The sequence below is a fragment of the Homo sapiens genome, chromosome 11 (genome assembly GCF_000001405.40).
Source record: "Homo sapiens chromosome 11, GRCh38.p14 Primary Assembly".
Lineage (NCBI taxonomy): Eukaryota > Metazoa > Chordata > Mammalia > Primates > Hominidae > Homo > Homo sapiens.
The window spans coordinates 130991617-131010316 of record NC_000011.10 but is presented as its reverse complement, the minus strand read 5'-3'; the positions used below and the strand labels follow the sequence as shown (position 1 = coordinate 131010316).

General features: G+C 37.4%; 1 long non-coding RNA gene and 1 pseudogene across 2 annotated transcripts, besides 1 other annotated feature; both read left to right on the top strand.

Annotated features, from left to right (window-relative positions):
- Nucleotides 5888-6189, top strand: RN7SL167P (RNA, 7SL, cytoplasmic 167, pseudogene; annotated as a pseudogene).
- Nucleotides 10351-11550: an enhancer, noted in NCBI's record as "CDK7 strongly-dependent group 2 enhancer chr11:130868662-130869861 (GRCh37/hg19 assembly coordinates)". NCBI's record gives its function as "activates an origin of replication core promoter dependent on BRD2, BRD4, P300/CBP, MED14 and CDK7 cofactors, with strong dependence on CDK7, by STARR-seq in HCT116 cells {active_cell/tissue: HCT116}" and the evidence as "EXISTENCE:reporter gene assay evidence [ECO:0000049][PMID:35650434]".
- Nucleotides 12811-16232, top strand: LOC105369577 (uncharacterized). Of its 2 annotated transcripts, XR_948199.3 has the most exons (4): nt 12827-12894; nt 14946-15034; nt 15497-15760; nt 15985-16232. It is a non-coding gene; the product is annotated as an uncharacterized LOC105369577 (long non-coding RNA). The 2 variants fall into 2 exon arrangements; XR_948198.2 differs by lacking the exon at nt 14946-15034 and having other exon boundaries at nt 12811-12894.
- Nucleotides 16233-18700: the final 2468 nt, after the last annotated feature.

Sequence of the window (18700 nt, the reverse complement as noted above, 5' to 3'; positions counted from 1 at the left end):
ATACCCCAAAACTAAGAGTGTCCTCTTAGGACTTGAGGGGAAACATAAAACAGAGTTGCTCTAACGAGGTGTAAAATTTAGCCTCCAAAAGTTCAAGGTGATTAGCCAGTAATTTAACTGCCTGTGAGGGCAAAACTAATCACTCTTCGGAGGAACACAAAAGAACCCAGAGTTCCTACAAGCTAACATCTACAGTATCCAAAATCTAATGAAAAATATATTAGACATGGAAAGAAAAAAGAAATATGGTCCAATGTTATCCAAAAAAAAGTAAATAGAAATAGATCTTAAGATGACCAAATGTTGGAAGTAGATAACAAGAATTTAAAGCTACTATTGTTCAAGAAGACAAAGAAAAAGATGAACATAATGAATGAAAACACAGAAATGCATCAGAGAAGTGGAAACTATAAAAAAAGAACCAAATGGAAACTCTAGAATAATATCTGGAAAAACAACAATAACAAAACACTGGGTGGGTTTAATGCTAGATTGAAGATTGCAGAAGCAAGGATCAATTACTTGAAGACAGAAATATTAAGTTTTAAATGTGAAGAACACAAAAAATTTAAATGAAATGACTTAATGACTTGCAAGAAAACATTTAGTGGTTTAACACATGTGTAATTGTAGACAGACCAAAAGAAGAGGTGATAAAGGGGCAAAAACATAATTGAAAAATAATGGCAAAAATATGATATATGTGATTATTTAAAAGCATTAAATTATAAATCCAAGATGACCAAGGAGCTCCAAGAAGAATAAATACAAAGAAAATCCGAACAGGGTGCATCATTATATTTGTACATGACTACATAGACATGAAGAGGCAGTGCATGGAAGATATACCTCCCATTGTTATTCTCAGGAAGAGTGAAGAGGGTGGGGAAAAACGGAATGCAGGATAGGAAGGTCATTTATGAATGTATGTGCAATAAAAACATGAACATAATACCACTTATTTAAAATAATATGTAGCATATATTATGTAAAGAAATGAATGGAGAGATGGTCACCAAAATGTTAATGGTGAATATTTCAGTGTGACCTTTACTTTCTTCTTAATATTTTATGAGTTAATGGAATTTATCATAATGATCATGTATTATTAATCCTATCCGAATTTTTTAAATCTTCTTTTTGCATATAAAGAAAATTTAAGTCAGAGGCTTGAGCTTTCACCTACCCCAATGATGATTCTGCATAATGTTTTTCTCACCTATTCATCGTAAAGCAGCATACACAGACACTTTGGTCCAGAACTCACTTGTACAACATAAAGAAATTTAGGCATAGAGATCATATATGGTAGGATTATAGTGATTATATTCAGTTTTATAGTGTAGATTTAAAAGTCATCTTAGTATAGGTTAAAAATAACTGAGCTATCCTGCTACTAAGGCAGATGACAAACCAGGTTTAAATGTACCAGTTGGCCAGGCACCACAGCTCAGGCCTGTAGTCCCAGCACTTTGGGAGGCTGAGGCGGGTGGATCACTTGAGCTCAGGAGTTCAAGACCAGCCTGGACAACATGGTGAAAGCCTATCTCGACAAAAATACAAAATTAGCCAGGCATGGTGTCACGTACCTTGGTCCCAGCTACTTGGGAGGCTGAAGCAAGAGGATTGCTTGAGCCAGGAGTCAGAGGTTGCAGTGAGCCAAGATCATGCCACTGCACTACAGCCTGGGCAACAGAGCCAGACCCTGTCTCGAAAAAAAAAAGAAAAAAGAAAAAAAAAAAAAAAACAGGACCAACTGAAAACAAGGCTCAGCCTCTGATTTTTTTCTAAATTAATCAAAATAAGAAATTATTTTCTATTATTCCAGTCAATCATTCAACAATACTTTTTAGTATTATTTTTTCAGGCACTGGTCATCATGCAGTAAACAAAGCAGGCAAGTATCTTTTTTTCACCTTGAAGACGACTCTATTCCAGTGATGGAGAACAGACAATAAGCCAAACAATAAATTACATAGCACATTGGGAAGTGATAGACGCTAAGAAGAAAATTTAAAGAAAGGACCAAGAAAGGGAGGACCAGAGATAGCAGGGAGTGCAATTTTAAATAGGCTTCAGTGAGGAGGGCATTTAAAAGCCAACTTTGGAAGGATATCTGAGAGTTAGCTATGTAGATATTTGGGGAAGAACATTCTAAGCCAATAAAAAAGAAAACACAAAATCCCCTATGCAGGAACATGAGGGTCATGTTTCAGGACCAGTGAAGAGGATACTGAAGAAACAAAGACGGAGACGGTGGAAGAGATGGGGTCTTCTATACCATGGTAAGGCTTTGACTTTCACCCTGAGTAATATAAGAGGCCACTGAAGGGTTTGGAGTTAAGAAGTGAGATGACCGAACTTCATCGTTTTTTTTTGTAATTTTACTCTTTATTGATGTACTACTGATAAATAAAATCTCTGTGTTCAAGATGTACAATTGGATGTTTTGATAGATGTAAACATTGTGAAATGATTACCTAAACCAAGTTAATTAACATATCCATCACCTCACTTAGGTATCTGTTTTTGTGTTGTAAGAATACCTAAGATCCACTCTCCTAGCAAAATTGAGTATACAATACATTATTAACTATAATCACCAAGGTGTACATTAGGTCTCTATAATGTATTTATCTTATAAATGCAAGTTTATACACTTTGACCAACATTTCCTCATTTTAACATGGTTTTATGCAGATCGATAGTGGCTGTGTTGACTATAGACAACAGAGGGAGGTAGCAGAGAGAGGAAGGAAGCAGGGATGCTCTTTGAGAGACTGGTGCAATGATCTGGGGATGGTGAGAGGAATGATAGTAGCTTGGATCCAGCTGGTAATGCTGGAGGTGCATAAAAATGGTCCAGACTTCCAATATGTCTCTAAGGTAAATGCAAAACACTTTTCAAAAAATAGGAAAAGAATGTGAAAAAAAATAAAGGAGACTCTGTGATGTAAACCTTGATACATTAAAAAAAAAAAAAACAAAAAAAACTTCCTTTTACCGGTTAAAGACTACAGAAGGAGAGGATTTAAAGAGCAGGATAATTGGAAGTTTGTTTTGGAACATATTAAGTTTGAACTAATAGATTTGCAAGTTGAAGTGCTGAGTAGCAGCTGGATAAGAGTATGAAGTTTAAATGGTAAGTCAGGTTGGATATCTAACTATAAAATCAATAATGTATTAGATATTATTAATATTTAGACTGGACACAGTCAATAAGGGAATAATGCAGATAGAAAAGAGAAGTGCAAGCACAGAGCCCCGGGCTTACTAAGTTTTAGGAGTCAGATGATAAAGGCAGACAAATGGTGACCAATAAGATAGGAGAAAAATGAAGAACGAGGTAACATTCAAGGTAAAGACATTTCTTTAATGAAGAGAAAGTGATCAATAATGTCAAATACTTCTGATAAGTCAGGTAAGATGATGACTGAAAATTGAACATTGGATTTAGCAACATCGAGGTCTATAGTGACCTTAACAAGAGAAGCTTCAGAGGAGCAATAGGGTCAGACTCCTTACCTAAAAGGGGATTAAGAGAGATTTGTAGATAAAAAATTAGGACGAAAAGTAAAGATGATAGTTTCCAAAATATTTTATCATAAAAGACAAAAATATGTGGAGAAAAGGAGGTTGAGGAACAGAGTCTAGGGCAGTTGTTCTCAATGGCAATGATTTGCTCTCCATCCACCTACCCCAGGGACATTTGGCAATGTCTAGAAGCACCTGAGGTTGTAAATGGTGAGATGTAGGGATATATGGGGATCCACAGCCCTCTCTTTACCCTCCTACCAATGGAATTGTGGAAGCTATGAGAGGGGCATTATTATTCCAAAGTTACAGAACTCCTTCTGGATTCTTTTCCAGATAACATAACTGGGCCTGGTGAATGAGTTTACAAGAGGCAGATTTTAGAATTATTCAAGGAAAAACTTCCAATCAATCCTTTCCAAAAACAAAATGGAGCCAGGCAGAGTGGCTCATGCCTGTAATCCCAGCACATTGGGAGGCTGAGGCAGGAGGACTGCTTGAGGCCAGGAGTTTAAGACCAGCCTGGGCAAGATAGCAAGAACTTGTCTCTACTAAAAATAAAAACAAAAAATTAGCTGGGCATGGTGGTGTGTGTCTGTAGTCCCAGCTATTCAGGAGGATGAGCAGGGAGTTACTTGAGCCGGGAAGTCAAGGCTGGAGTGAACCATGATTGTGTCACTGCACTCCAGCCAGGTTGACAGAGTGAGACCTTGTCTCAAATAAATAAATAAATAAATAAATAATAAAAATTAAAATTAAATAAAACAAATAATTTTTAAAAAAAGAAATTGAGCTATCTTTTCAGTAGTGAGGTCTCCGTCAATGGACGTGTTCAAACAAAAATGGGTAACATATTTTAAATATGGATAGAATCTGGACTAGATGACCTCCCAGAGTCCCTCCTTCCCAAACTTGGAGTCTAGATTTATTCAGACCTGAGACAAAGACACTCTGGTGTCTTAATCTACCACGTCTGCTTCATCTTTGAGTGATTCCTACGTGATTCTGTTCACACTGCCTGCTAGGGATTACCTCCCCAAACCATCACTACATAGCTTCTAGTCCTTTAATCAGTTATTAAAGTCCCAAACATCCCCTCATTTCTTCATAAGAGCCCTACCATGACCTTTTGAACATGTTTTTATTTCTAAAACAATTCATATAGACAGCTATTATATTTTAACATAATTAATATCTCACATTTATTTCTAAACAAATGTGCCTTCTCCAAATTAAATATTACCCTTTGAGGGTGTAAGGAATTGGTTTAAATAGCCAGCTTTAAGTAATCCAAAATCATAGCAGTTCCTTCGTTTCCTAAGTCATGGGATAGGTGCTTAGTACTAAAGGCACAGAGAAATTAAACGTCCTCATCAACTATATTTGGGCTTTGCATTTGTAATTTCCAGAGGTGTTTATTAAAGATATTTCAACGCTATTTATCCATTCTCTAACTCAGCTGAAAGATCAAGGATAAGATAGATGACCAATACTCCTCATCCCAAGCTTTGGACAGGCATCTACTGATGATAACAGCACAGTCTGCTGCAGATCTCAAATGTGCCCCGCAGTTCTTCCTGACAGTGCTTGCAGAAGCCTCTACCATTCGATCCAACATGGTAATCAAGATGAAGCCTATTTGGATCCCTGTTCTAGACTCCAAGTCTTTGATCATATAGTAGGTATGTTATTTGCTCAAAATGATACAAGACCTTTCTGCTTTATTTCAGATAATAGTTGCAATCAAGGATGCATGAGGAAGCAATAGGATATAGTAGGGTTATTACTGGATCAATAATCAAGCAATTTATGCTCAAAAACTGAAAAAAAAATCTGTTATGTATCTTGAACAAAACAATTTGCCTCCCAGATCTTCTGATTTCACATTGCTAAAATAATGAGATTTATGGGGATTCAGAGGCAATATGCTTATTACTGGAAGTATGGATAAACAGATGTGATGGATTTATACCACGCAGTTCTATGAAGATGCTAGAAACAGCAAACTAGACATACATAGAGAAATCTGAGTGGATTTTTTTTTTTAGATGGAGTCTTGCTCTGTAGCCCAGGCTGGAGTGCAGTGGTGCAATCTTGGCTCACTGCAACCTCCACTTCCCGGGTTCAAGTAATTCTCCTGCCTCAGCCTCCTGAGTAGCTGGGATTACAGGCGCTGACAACCACAACTGGCCAATTTTTGTAATTTTAGTAGAGACAGGATTTCGCCATGTTGGCCAGGTTGGTTTCAAACTCCTGACCTCAGGTGATCCACCGCCTTGGCCCCACAAAGTGCTGGGATTACAGGCATGAGCCACCTCGCCCTCCCGGGTGGATCTTAAACACATGTGCTTTAGCCAAGCCCGGTGGTGCATGCCTATAATCCCAGTTCCAGCTACTCAGGAAGCTGAGACAGAAGGATCACTTGAGCCCAGGACTTCTGGGCTGAAGTCAGCTCTGCCTATCAGGTTTTCACACTAAGTTCAGCATCGATATGGTGACTTCCTGGGAGCAGCGGCCCACCAGGTTGCCTAAGAAGAGGTGAACTGGCCCAGGTTGGAAACAGAGTAGGTCAAAACTCTTATGCTGATCAGTAGTGGGATTATCCCTGTGAAAAGCCACTGCACTCCAGCCTAGGTGACATAGTGAGACTCCTCCAAAAACAGAAATAAATAAATCATTGTGCTTTTAAAAAGTAAGAAACAAAATGAGATAACACAATACCATTTGTATGCATTAACTGAATATGTGCATACAAAACTATTTTTATAAAAACATATAAAACAAAGGGATACATATTAAATATGTTAAAATGGTTGTGGGGTTGATGGAAGTAGAGAAATGGAATAAAATCAAATCAAAAAATAAATAAAAGATCAGCCGTGCATGGGCAAGTGATATGTCCTGAACTGCGAAGTGTGACGAACTCAACCTTCTGCTTCTTAGGCCCAATTTTAAAATAATAATTTTTTAAAAAATAAGCAAATTAGGGATTTTGCTTCTGGCATTACAAAGACTAGACAGTCTGGCAGGGAGGAGGACTACTCCTGGAGAATAACTAAATCCTGGGTAACAAGATTTATGTATTAATAGACTCTCAAAAATTAGGGAAAATCTCTAAGGAAACACTCTCCCCATGGGCACACACCCGTGATAAAAAAAAAAAAAAAAAAAAAAAAAAAAAAAAAAAAAACACCTCTAACTTATATACTTAAATAGAAGCTGGAAACTAAGAGCAGTGAGTAGTGAGCAAATGGGCCACAGGGTCTCCTTGAGGACAAAGGCCAGTAGCAGCTCTGTGACCTTAAGACTGAGGTTGAGACAGCCGCCAAGCAGATGAACTAAAACTGGGGCTCCCACGTGAATCGGAGACTTTTGAAGATACAAAAGTAGCTGCAGATCAGTCGTCCTCTTGACTCCTGGAAGAACCAGATGAAAATCTTTCTAGAAAGAAGCAAATCGAAAATGTAGGCCTTCAGGATTTCCTCAAATTAACTTATGAAAATAAGAGTTCATATTTAAATATGACCAAATACATTAGAGGCAATCCACTATGTGTGAGTAAACAGAAACAACAGATCATTTAGACTGCAGATATTCAAATTAGAATTGTTAGATACAGAAAATAGAGTGGCTGAGTAGATAATATTTAAAGGAATAAAAGAGGAAATCACAAAGATGAGCAAGTGAAAGGACTGCTAGAAATAACCAGGCAGATCTGAAATAACATTAAAAGTATTGAACTCAAATGGGAAAAGCCCACTGCATAATGAATAATTTGGTGTATTGGGAGGTATATCTGAATAAATTACCCAGAATTTATATATGAGTAAATTACACAGGAAAAAAAAGAAAATACCAAAAGGAAGTTAAGAGAAATGGAGGGATAGAATAAACAATGCAACACACAGCTAACTGGAGTTCCAGAAGGAGTGGCAAGAAATAATGGCTAGAATCTTCCTAATAAGAATCTTCCTAATCTTCCATGAACAAATAAAAGTCTTGATTATAGAGGTTTTAAAAACACTATATATTCCACGCAGGGCAAATAAAAAGAAATCTATGTGTGCACACAATGTTGTCACCAGAACACAAAGTCAGAAAGATCTTAAAATCAGCCAGAGAAAGTACTGATGATCTGCAAAGGAGGAACTTAGCCTTAGAGCTAACTTTATCCTATGGAAGCCATCAGATAATTAAATACCATCTGAGCACTGAAGATACATAGATAGATAGATAGATAGATAGATAGATAGATAGATAGATAGATAGATAGACGGACAGACAGATCAATCCAGAATTGCGTATTTAACAAAACAATTTTTCACGTGGGAGACACAGAGATTTCATAAGAACAAGTGCCAATAGCAGCATTGCGATCACAACACTCAGCCTTGGGACAGCAATCGGGTGGATGATTAAACCTGACATGCTCATACACGGCACCACTATTTCTGAAGCATGGCACACACTGAGTAAACATGGAGCCACCTGGATAGGATCTGTTCTTTCAAAGATCTTATACATACCTTAACTGAGTTGATGCCAAGAATTTTGAGATAGGTTATGGAGAGGCATAGTATTTCTACTTTATAGGCAAGTAAACATATCCAGAAAGGTTAAGTTACTTACAAAAAGTATTGGACAAATGCCTTTGAGTTTTCTTCATTTGAAAGTATAAATATAGATAAACATGTTAAGTATTTTTAAAGAAATGTTCACTGATAATACTGCAGGTATTTAGGGACTTCCCTACATGCTCACAATCTCAGTCTCATTCATTATTATCCCCAATAACCATTTTTTGACACACACAGTGAATACTCCCCCAGTAGCTTCTCATGAATCCCTACTACCAAAGCACTATCAACAATGCCTAATGGATAAATCATCCTCCCTGATAGGGTCATCATTTCTGAAAAAAGAAGGTGTATTGCTATTGCTGCTGCAACAAATTAGCCCAAATGTAATTTTAACAATAAAAATGTATTATCTCTCAGCATTTTGTAAATTACAAGTCTAACACAGGTCTCACTGAGATGCCCTGAGAGAAAGTGTTTCCTCACTTCTCCAGCTTCTAAAGACAGCTCACATTCCTTGACTTGTGACCCTCTCCTCCATCTTCAAAGCCAGAAGCTTTGATGCCTCAGACACACTTTTTCAGTCACACCTCTCTTTGCCTACAGTCAGAAGAGATCCTCCATTTTTAAGGATTCATGTGATTACATTGGGCCCACCTGGATAATTCAGGATAGTTTTTCCAGCATAAGGTCCTTAACCTGAATCACATCTCCAAAGTTTCTTTTGCAGTGTATGGTCATATATTCACAGGTTCCAGAGGCATGGACATCTTTGGAGAGCCATTACTTCACCTACCATGGAATATGGAAGAGTGGCAGAGACGCTCTTGGTCTAATAGATAAATGATAGATAACGTTGCTCTTATTATATCAGGTCATGCTAAGCTTGTATAGTGCATTCCAGTTTTCAATGTACCCCACCAATTCAACCCAGATTCTGGAAGACAAACCCTAATGCATTTATTATATATAGTAAACTATTGTATTTTGTATAGTATTACATTTTATAATATGTAAAGTACATTACATAATACATTTGTTATATGTAATGAGTTAACTTGGCTCCTATACATTTAGAAAGGCATTGGTTGTATCCTGCCTGAGGGAAAATTGAGAAAAGGGTCACATAAATCATTTTTGGCAGAACTTATCTTGTGAGACTCTAGTTGAAAAAGAATACATCCTTTATTGCACTTGTGCAAAAAAAGCAAGTTAACACAGCAGGCCTGGGATCACTGTCTTAAAAAAGATAACTGATTGCATCAAACAAAAGTAGTGGCAATGCACTGGAGGTCTTATAATTTAAATAAAGTAAATGTATGACAAAAAATCACATAAAATGCTGGGGGGGTGAAAGTATTTAAGATTCTTTTACTATCTATAAAGTGCTGTAATATTAAGGTAGACTGTGGTATGTATATAGTAAACCACAGAGCAATCATTTAATAATAACACAAAGAGGTACAGATAATACATTGAAAAATGGAGATAAAATGGAATCCTAAAAATACACAATCCAAAGGATATGGAAGGTGGCAGGGGATGGTAGGAAATGAATAACACATGAGTCAAACTGAAAACAAACAACAAAGTGAGTGATTTAAACTTGACTATGACAATATTTACTTTACATGTGAAGGGTCTAAACCATGAGTCAGCAAGCTATGTCCCATGGGCCAAATACAGCCCATCATCATTTTTTATAACGTTCCATTGTATTGAAACACAGCCACGCCCATTCATTCTTGTGTTATCTGTGCTGCTTTCATGCTATAATAGCAGAGTTGTGTGATTTCAACAGAGACCATATGATCCCAAAAGCCTAACATTTGTTCTGTCTGGCCCTTTACAGAAAACATTTGTTGACCCTTGGTGTAAACACTCCCATTTAAAGCCAGAGATTCTCAAATTGGACTTAAAATAATAACTAAATATGATCTGCAAGAAACCCACTTTAAATATAAACACATGGTTAAGTTAAAAGTGAAAGGATAGAAAGAGGCATGCCATGCACGCACTAAATGAAAGGAAGCTGCAATGCCTAAGATAATATCAGATGATGCAGACTTCAGAACAAGTCTTGTTACCAGAGATAAAGAGGAATATTTCCTAAGGATAAAATTGTTAATTTATTTTAAAAATTTAAATGTATATGCATCTAATAGCAGATTCAAAATATATGAAGCAAACAAAGAGCTGAAATGAGAAATAGACAAATACACAATTAAAATGAGAGCTCTAAACACTCCTCAATCAGTAACTGATAGATAAGATAGGCAGAAGATTAGAGAAAGCATAAACAAGTCTTGAAGAGCACTATCAACAACTTGAAATGATTGATATTCACAGAATATTCCACTCAACAATTGCAGAATACACACATTCGAGTGTTGACAAAATATTCACTCATATTAGTCCAATGAGCACAGTTAACAGTAGCACATATCCATGGTTCAGAAGGGTCCATGGGGTTTACAGACCCAATGACTGTGATTCCCTTTTCTCTTCCAAGAATTCTTCCTGCTTTCTGTTGTACATCAACAGAGGAACTGGGAAACTAGTTGATGATCCACTGTCTATGATAATTTCTCTACAAGTAGCTCCTTTCAATCGGGACAATCACCCATGGATTTTACGAGAATTCATGGCACATACACATAAAACATCAATACTAATTATTACAATTTTACATTTAGAAACAGGAGTGATAAAAGTGATGCAAGACAATGATCAAGCAGCCCCACTCAGATGGGTACAGCACCATTCAGAGTAAGCAGCAAACAGGAGAGTCTCTCCTTCTCTCCTCCTCTCCTCCTCTCCCTCTCCCTCTCCCTCCCAGCCACCAGAGAATGACAAATAGTCATACTATGGTTGCTTGACCTACTTGGCTGCCTGTACGACCAGCTACAGAAACTGCTCAGTTTCAGGAGACAGATAAGTCTTGCAGTTTGGCATTCTCAGCAGGAATGTTCAGGGATTTCCAGGGCCCATGGCAGACTTCCTATCCCAACATGTAGTAATAAAATAAATGGGTAGTGATTTAAGAACAGATGGACAAATAGAACAATAGAACAAAGCATTGAACTTAGAGAAAGATCATGTATACATGAAAATTTAAATCACAATAAATGTAGAAGTATAACAGCAAAAATCAAAGGTGAAAGAGAGGTTGTTTTATTTATGGCATTAGGAAGAAAATAAAATTGGATTCTTAACTAAAATCACATATAAAAGTAAAATCCAGAGAGATTGATGAAAGATGAAATAGAAAATCAATAGAAGAAAATGTCAGAGTACATGTTTGCAATGCAGAGTCAAGAAATAACTCTTTTTAAAAACTTGAAAAGCTTACATGCAAAGGCAAACCTGTCTTTAAAATGACTATTTCCTCTATTAAAAAAATTAAGTGTTTTTGTTTAATAGAGGAAGAGTGGATAAAGAGAGATAATCTTTTATCAACAATATCCAAAACTGGCAATATGCAAACATGTAAGGATTAAGTCAACAAGACAGATAAACCAAAAGAAAAAAATGGGCAAAAATATGAATAAGCAATAAAACCAACAGCTAATATGTAAATCAAGAGACATTCAAATTCATTAGTCATCACAGGAGCAAATGAAAACAGTAATGAAACAGTATCTTATCCCTGTTAATTTAGTTAGAATGTAAAAAATAAGCAGTCTCAACTATCGGTAGAGTGTAGGGATAGAGGACCCTACATACCCTCCTGCTAGGAGAAGAATGGTGCAGATATTCTCAAGATCTATCTGTCGGCACCTAGTCAAGTCAAGCTTACATATATTTTACAACCCAGCAATTACACTCACAGGTGTGTAGACCAAAGAAATTCTCCCACAGGTCCACAAGTGACATACATAGCCATGTCTGTTGCAGCCTTGTTTATGGTGATAGGGATTCAGCACAATCCGAGTGTCCATCACTAACTGGAAAAGTGGATAGACCAAGTTTGGTGGATACACGTGGAGTTTGATGAAGCATTTAGAAAGAATGAACTAGATGTTCACAGAGCACCATGACTGGCACTTCAGTGCTAAGTAAATGAAACAAAATGAGATCCACAACTTACCATTATTTCCATAGAATAAAAACACAGACACACAAAACAAAACACACTTTTTAAAATGACATATAAATGAATGATACATACCAAATACATTAGAATGATTGCCAATGAAGAATGAATTAAAAAAATGAAATTTGGGATTGGGGACATATACAAATAAGTTAGTAAGTGAATGAATGAATAAGAATAGTTCTTTCTCTTTTGAAATAATTTAAGAGCAGTGGCCTCAAATGGAGGCAAAAACATAAGGAAAAGCACATAGGCAGGAAAGCAGAAGTCTATAAAAACAAAGACAAATATACAATTTCAAGGGAACAACAGAGTGTTTCAAGGGGAGTAGCAGAAGATAAGACAGAAAAGGTAAGTTGGCCAGCTGAATCTTGTGTCTTTTAATTCTTTTACCTAAAAAATAGCATATAAGCTTTACTGATATTTAATACATGGATCAATCCTGGAACTCTGGCTTGTAATTGGGATACATATGCAAGAAAATAAATAAAAAGAGCCCATTTCTCTAAGCATCTCTGTCCTAAGTCTCTTCTGTCTCCCTACAGCTAACATCTATGGGCACTTCCTATGGCTCTGTGATGTCATTTCCTTTTGTAGCTATTAGTTCCCTGCAGCGTCTGTACTTTACTCCACCCAGGCTGCCTGATAACAGATGTGATTTCCAGCTGTGTCTATATACCAACCATAGTGAGTTCATTAATAACAATTATTAAGTACTTTATTTTACAAATTGAGCCTGTAGCAATAGAGAAAACATCCAGTCATTTGTTTTATGGCCTCTTGTCAGAGCCAACTATAAATTCCCATTATCTCTACATTATCAGCACTGCAAAATAGATCTGAGCATGAGTCATAAATAAAACTCCCAAACAGCTCAATCATTCTGGAAAGAACAGAGCATAAATTAACACCTGACGATGTAATGTTATATGTGAACTTAAATAATAGCTCAGGCCTTCCTGTCAGCTAATTATGCAAATTATCATTTTTAAGACTTACATTTGTAGTTGCATGGCTGGTGCGTTCATTTAGACACACAATTAGAGCCCAATAAATATGCAGTCCATACATCGCCCTCCCATAACCCAAGAGTTCCTACTAATGATGTATGAGGAACAGTGAAAATGAGAAAAAAATTTCAATCGAAGGAATGTCTCAAAGGACTATAGGGAATAGGAAAAAAATCACATTTTCTCTGAATACTACATTTCACAGAAGAAATTGTTAAATTTGGGAAGATGAACAGAAGAGGAGTAGCAAACTGTATGCATTATAGGTTCCTGGGTGGAAGTCCACATGGATTCTCGGTCTATTGTAGAAATACTGATTTAGTTACCTCTCTGTCTAGGGACCAAACTGTCTTAAATGATGAAGACAGTTAGAATTTATCCTTTTAAGATAAACTGAAAACAAAAATTTAATTTTTAAGAGAAAAATAGCCAGTAAACACATGAAAATTGTCAAAACACTAATAAGCAAAGACTTGCAAATTAAAGTCATGAGATAACATTTTTCATGTTTTAAAAATTAATCCCCAGTTAATTGGGGAGGAGGCAGTGAAATGGGAAATAGAAAATCCAGTCATTTCCTAGAAGAAATATAAAGGAGTTCAAACCTTCAAGGCCATTTGGCAATATCTACCAATAATACCAGTGACCATAAAAGTGTCCATTACTTTTGATCAGTAATTCTAATTCTGGAAAATTTATCAGTTACAGACTTAGTACAGGAATGTTGATTATAATGAATTCATAATGGCAAAAAAGAGGTAGCAGATAATAATATTCACTAGGGAAGTGGGAGAATAGCTACAATAAAGTCTAAGAGGAAATGTTTGAATAACTCATGGTATACCCAACCCCTGAAATACCGTCCTGCTGCCAAAAATTATTTTGTGAGAAATATTTAACAGGACAGCACTCACAGATCACTTTAAATAGATTGTAAAATGGTTCTTATGGTACAATTCCAATCATGAATCATATTACAGTTTTTACACACACATACATATGCACCCATATATAAGACTGGAAAAATACAGTAAATCTGAAAAGTTTTTTCTATATGATGGAATGATGAATATTTTCTATCATCTTAATAATTTTCCGTATTTCCTAAAATTTCTTTCAGTGGGAGAGAGAAATAGTTCACAAAAAAATTGACCTAGTATGAATTCCTATTCATAATTTTTCAAAGCCTTCCATAGCCTGTATCCAATGGACCAGTCCAACTTTGTCTTCCCTAAAGTTCAAAATAAGACTTTGGTCAAATCCACTGCGTTTCATTGCCCCCCAGTCCTGCCCTGCTTCTTTCCAAATCAGCCTTTGCTCAGGTTTCGTTTCCTCTGTGTGCTCCAAACTGGTTAAACAGCATTAAAGTCAGAATCTTAAGGAACTCAACCTCTGCCTGGAACCACATAAAAACCAGAATATGCCAGCTATCAGAAGTAATTACCTTTCCCTGAAAAAAAATAATAAATAAAAAATAAAATTAAGCAGTCTTTTCCTCAAACCACTTAAAGGAGATCCAGTCATGGCTTCCAGCCACACTGCTCAACACCCTCTGCCCCTGCTCCAAGTTTCCCTGAGGCTCCAGCAACCCAAGCTGTCTCCAGCAAGCCCACAGCTTTTCTCACTTCCCTCTAACCTCCCCTGCTTCCTGCTCTTTCTGTAGATACACTTAGCCTCTTTGGTTTTGTTCCCTCCCATTTTCACATCACATCTTTTGTCTCTGACCAGTCTCCAGATGAACAAAAGCAGAACTATGAGAGGGTTCTCCACATCTGTAAAGAAGAAAAAATAATAAACCGTCCAGCCAATATCATAAGGTGTGAGGTTTAAACGTTTTAACACTGTTTAAATATTGCACGTGTTGTAACTATGGCACCCCTTTTTCCACATTCACTCAACAAGTATTACTAATAAATGACCAGTACTCTGCTACTACTTTTTGACCCACAACTATGGGAATTATACTTGATTATTCCTTCTCTATCCTTTCCTTAGCTCGATACATCACTATATTCTACTTTATCTTCAAAATATAGCTCAAGTTAGCTACAGCTCTTTTGATCCATTAGCACCAAGCTAAGCCACGCAGCCACCTCTCACTGAGACCCCTGAAGTAACTCCTGACTTGTTTCCCCAATCCACTCTTGTGCCCTCCATCTTATTACTAATACAGAAGCCAGTCATTTTCTTTAAAAAGCCCATCAAAAGTAATTCATTCCAAGACCCCAAATCTCCAGTGGTTTCTTTAACAGACATGATGGGTGTCGGTATTTGGTTAGCACACAGATAATGAAGCTGTTCACAATGGCATGAGAGTACAGAAGAGAAACTAGAGCCCATGAAAAGGATGCTTACCTGCCAGAGAACTCTGCAAGTCTGTGCTGTTGGAAGAAAGAGAGAAGTCTATGGAAAGCCCTCTCTTATACACAGAGCTGCATTTTTCTTCTTAGGTGTGTGAAGTACAGAAGACGCTTATCAAAGTAATGCATTGGACACATCAAAATTGACAAACGACTTACTTAACAAAAGATATTTGAATGCATGTAAGTTATTTTTACCCACGGGCGATTGCCCTGGTAAAGTCTATAAACCAGTTATGCCCTGTGCATGAACTAAGCACCTCAACACCTTCTTACTACACCTAAAATAAAATCCCCAGTCCTTACCATTGGCCTTCAGGGCTCTGCAAGACACAGCCCCTTCTTCTGTCTCCAGCCAATCTCTCCATAGCTTATTATATTGACTTTTTATTTCTTGACTGTTTCAGCTGTTTCTACACTTGTGTGATGCCATTCCTTCTGCCCCACTCTTCACCTGAATAATTTCCATGGGGGCTCAGCCATGTTGAAGCATGTATGTCAAACTGATGTAAGAGTTTGACAGAAATGTATTTGCATGAATTGCTGAAGAGCCTCCTGAGAGAATACTCGTATTAGGGTAGAAAGAATACAGGTGCTGAAATGAGCTCAACCCATTAACACTATTTATTGAAATAAAAAAGTGATTCTGAGGATAGCATGAGTTTATCACTAGCAGTTGTCTCATTCCAATTCCGCAGACTGGGAGATTTGTGATTTAAAGATTATTGTATAAAATTAGTAATTGTTTTTATCTTCTGGGAAAACTGGTTCACTATATAAAGAAAACTAAATGGGAGGCCTACTGTGTTAAATACTGAGTCACTTACTCAGTATCCATTCCCTCCTCTTCTTTACCAACTGAATTTTGACTTTATGTGGGGTGTGCATTGTCAGTCTAATCATTCACTTTCCCACCCTCCCTGGAAGCTCAGCATGCCCATGCAACAGACATATTTATGGCTAATGACACATATGTAGAACATTTCTAGGAAAAATGATACATTCTTGGGAAAAGCTTTCTCCCCATTCCCATACCTTCCTATTTTGAATGAGGACATGATGTCTGGAGCTCCAGTAGCCATCTTCTCCCCATGCAGTGCAGGCATGAAGGGATGGTCAAGAGTCACAGAGATGCTGGTCGGACACCATGAAGCCACTGAACAACTCCATCAGATGCTCACTTCCAATTCTCTACGACCTTCTCCCACGCATTTATGAGCAAATCAAATGTGTTCACGATGTCTAGACAGCTGCTCTGTTCTTCAAGGAATGACTGTTGTTTCTATGACCTCATGCTGCGTCAAAGCTAAGAAGCCCTTGAAGTTCCAAAGGTACCCGGTGCTTTATGGTGCGATAATGAACAAATTTTTCCTATTATTCCACATATTGAATATAAATTCACATGTTGGGTATGAAATGGTAAGTGACATACTGATTTCACTTACTCATTTCCAAGTAGCCATTAATGACCTGAAAGGTAGTGTCCTGTTGAGAACAAAGTTCCTGAATGCTGGGTACTGAGATGCTGGCAGCAGCATATCAGCAGAAGGAGGTTTTCCTTTACCCTCTCTGCCCATGACAGGGCAATTGGCAGGAATGCCAGTGCCCTTAATAATAGGGCAGCTCTAATTGCTATTTATCAAGCTCTTTGTTTGGAAAAAAGAGACGGCGCTTTATTTTTCAAGAGACCATGGAACGGTCACGCAGATCAGTTTCTCAGTCCTAAAGTGTAACGGGGCATTAAAAAAGCTGATTATGCAGTTTCACTAAAACTCAGGAGCTGCTCTATCCATGGCTGTTTAGATTTAAATGAGTTAAATAAAATTTTAACATTCACTTTCTTGGTCATGCTAGCCACACGTGACTAGTGGACAGCACAGATGTGGAACAAGTCCATCACTGCAGGACGGCCCATGAATAGGGCTGCCCTAGGGTCTGAGGCACAGGCTGAATGAGCAGACACTCCTCAGTATGTCACTTATGTAAATGGTTTGGTGGCCACTGGAAAGTAAGCTCCATGAGGAAAAAGATTGTTATAAAAACTATACCCTGTTCTATTTCTAATGCCTCAACAATAAATAATTGTTTAGTGAATTCAAAATTCTCAATTCAGTTAGCTATAACATGAAGAATGTTTTATTCTCAAAATTACTTGTACATTTTTGGCCTTGAGCACTCAATCTGCCTGCAGCACATATTTTATTTTCTTCCCATTGTATTTCTATTTAAATTTTAGTCCAGATCAATGATTTCTATAATTTCATCCACTTATTAAAATCTCCATTTCATTCAAGAAAATATCCTGTCAAGTGTAAATATTGTTTTTAAGTCCCATGCACAGTTTCAAGCTGGGACACCTCTTGCCCTCTCTCTCTCCTTCTCCTTCCTTCTCTTTATCACTGGTTATCCTGCCCTCACCTTCCCACCTGAGTCCCTTCTTCAGAAAGTGCCCCTGTCATCTGTCTTGTTCAGGAAAGAAGACAGAAGCAGGATAAGAAAGAAGAGTCAAATTATGTGATTGGCAGTCCCCTTAAGGTGGGCAGTTGCTTTCTTAACACTTTCTCCTTGATGTCTTACAGGGATCTCAAACTTAATGTGTTCAAAACTGAATTTTCGCCATTTCTCCAAATTGAACCTCCTGTTGTCCTCCTTCTGTTACTCAAGCCAGAGCCCTGAGAGTCATGGCACCTCCCCATCCCTGCTCCCTAAATTTTGGTCTGCCTCTCATGCTTTCTGTGGTCTTTGTTGTTAAGATGGTCTTATTTTACAATATTGGGGGTGGGGTGCAGAGCTTAACCTCCATCTTGGTTTCTCTTCATCTTGGAGGAGATTATTCAGCCTCCTCCCCAATTTTGCCCAAAAGAACATCATATATTGTTAACCCCCATTATCAGTACACACTCCAACCCCTTTCTATTCAGATAAGCAGACATCACCTCCATTCTCTACCCAGGAAATCCTATGGCTCCAACCCCTCCACTAGTCTCTATATTCCATCATATAGGGCCACAGGAATTATTAGGATCCTTTTCCACTCTGCAAGCACCACAAGGCCATCCTTCCAACAGTTCCTTCAAGCCCAGATGACATGATCTATTTCTGCATAATTTTCATCTTCAGAAA